The following is a 2575-nucleotide window of genomic DNA, read 5'->3' on the forward strand; positions in this document are numbered from 1 at the left end:
AATTCCATTCACCCATGCTGAGTTATCAAATGCAGGTCACTAACCACCACATGCTGTCCCATGGCTGGAGGAAATGAGCGGGGCTATGAGGTGACCTCCCACTGGAGACTGGAGAAAATAGCCCGCACCCCAAAAGATATGCACACACACACACACACACACCCTCCACAGTGCTGTGAGACTTATTTCTTCAGAAAACAAGCCAAGAAAATGGAGGAGAACAGGCGTCTGAGTCGGCCAAAGTATGTGCCTATTGCCCTAAAGAGAAACTCAACCTCATTCAGACCCCCTTTACTTTTGTTTTAGAAACAATCTAACAGCTGACTATGGGGCTCTGACCCACACCTTCACCTCCACCTGGTGGCTCTCCCAGCTCACCCACCCCACCCTGGGGGAGCAGCTCCCACATGCCCTCAGGGGAAATGCTTCCTCCTTAGGAATGTGAGCCAGTGGGCCCCAAAGGGCCTCACGGATTCAGCCCACCCTTCCAGCTCCAGAGCCCAGGCCTTGACCTGCCAATGTGTCTTCTCCACAGGGTCTTCCAGGTTAGTGCAGCCCCCACCTCTGCTGCAGCAGTCTCCCTCTGGGGTGTCCCCACCTCTGACCCCCGCAAGCCCTGATGCAGGACAGGCACTGTGCTGGCACAGGCAGTAGGTGCCTGTTGCATGAGATAAAGGCCAGGCTCTGGGCATGTCATGAACCACTCTAGCCATCCCACCTGCCATTGCAAGGACCTCCCCACAGGCCTTTGGAAGAGCAGCCTTTGCCAGAATCTCCCCAACTCTGCGCAGCTGCGGGGGTGGGGGTCGAGCCTCCACAGTGCTCCCTCTCGGCCTCAGAGGGCACCCTACACCATTGCTCACCCCTACCATGTACCCCTGCCTCTGCCTATGTCGGGCCCCTGCTGCAGTGCCTTCCCCTCTGACGCTGCTCTCAGTCCAGTCCACCTCCACCCTATCCCTGAGCTCAGTGTGTCCCCATCAGTGCCACCCTGCAGTGACCCCACCTGCCAACGGGTCGCTCCTTCCTTTCACCCTCCCACAGGGATCTGGGCTGCTGTGGGGCCCCCTGAGGAGTACTGTCCGACAATGCTAGTGCCACAGCTTCCATGGGATTCCTCCACTGCACCTGTTTCCTCCTGCTCAGACCGAAGTAGGCCTGAGTTGAGTGTCATGGGGCTCTCAGAACGCCCTTCCCTTCCTGAAAACCTCTCCTGATGTCCATGACCCCCGCGCCATCCCAATCTTAAAGCTCATGTGATAGGTTGGGATCCCTGGGAAGCCACCTCTGAGATGGGCTTTGGCAGGGCGGGTGTTTATTGAGAAGCGTCCCCAGGGTCAGTGCCTATGAAGGAAAGGGAGGAGGTTGAGCTATGAGGCAGCACCGAGGACAGGCTCTGTTGCCTGCTCTGGGGGTCCTCAGGCTAGAATGGCCTTTGGGGCTGTCCTGAGTTGGGCCCGGGGTGGCCAGGCCTCTGTGCTCCTGCCTAATAGAGTCCTGGTTGTCTGGGGTGCCCTGAGCGAATGGCTCTCTACAGCTGTGGTGCTGAACTGACAGTGGGCCTGACCGCTGCAGCCTTCAGTCCCTGGAGCAGCGAGCTCTTCATGGAAAGGGCCCGCCAGACCTATGCTCTCCACCAGGTCTGTGTTTCTTTTTGGAGTTTCTCTTTTGGGTTTGCTTTTCATTCCAGCCTGGCACACAAGCCCTCTGCGACTTGCTCCAGCGACTAACCTGTCCTTCTGCCTGAGCGTCCCCTTGCTGCCCTCCCTCTATTCCACTCTTACCCACTCAGACTTTGAGAGCCAGGCCAGAGCTCCCCCTTGTACAGATGGTTTGCTGAAGGGCCTGGCAGGTGGGGTCACTCTGCCCTCTGTAAGAATGCCTGGACAGAGAACCAGAGACCACCCCGACCATCCCTTTCCATCAGTGACAGCAGAAAAGAGCACCTCTGTGGACCTTCCCAAACAGAAAGACCAAGGTCTTGTGACCGGGGTTTGCTGAAGGAAAAATGGTCATCAGCACTGGAAATAGTAGCTTTTAAATGTTGTCACTGAGGTGGGTTCCTGTGCAGGACGAGGAGCAGGACCAGCCATCTTGGCCATGCTCAGAGACACAGAAAGAGGTGGATTCCTTATGGAGAGAGAGGTGGATTCTTTATGGAGAGAGAGGTGGATTCTTTATGGAGGGGGAGCAGAGAGAGGACAGGGGCTCAAGGATGGCCCCCACACAGCTCACTGGGAGGCTTGCTCTGAGTCCCAGCCTCCTGCCCAGGAGATTTGGGCAGTTGGGGTTGCAGGAGTGAGTTAGTACCAAAGGTGTACCCGACTGTGTACACTTGTGGAATAGATAATGCAACCAGGGATGGCTGCAGTGCTTGAAGGAAGAGTAATGTCATTACAGCCATGTGGGTGAATGTGAGTGTGTCTGTGCCACGCACACCCACCCAGAGAGTCCAAGAACAAAGGCATGACTGTTGGACAAGCATGAAACTGCAAATTAGTGCTTCTGATATGATATTGCCTCATGAATAATCAGGACATTCTCCTAACCTCGGGTGTGATTTGAAACTGGGAGT

The 2575-nt window shown here is 55.9% G+C and overlaps 1 annotated feature.

Annotated features, from left to right (window-relative positions):
- Positions 216 to 717: an enhancer, noted in NCBI's record as "H3K4me1 hESC enhancer chr2:130056887-130057388 (GRCh37/hg19 assembly coordinates)". NCBI's record gives its function as "activates a minimal SCP1, AML or CMV promoter by ChIP-STARR-seq in primed H9 embryonic stem cells {active_cell/tissue: H9 hESC(primed)}" and the evidence as "EXISTENCE:reporter gene assay evidence [ECO:0000049][PMID:30033119]".

The sequence above is a fragment of the Homo sapiens genome, chromosome 2 (assembly GCF_000001405.40).
Source record: "Homo sapiens chromosome 2, GRCh38.p14 Primary Assembly".
NCBI lineage: Eukaryota > Metazoa > Chordata > Mammalia > Primates > Hominidae > Homo > Homo sapiens.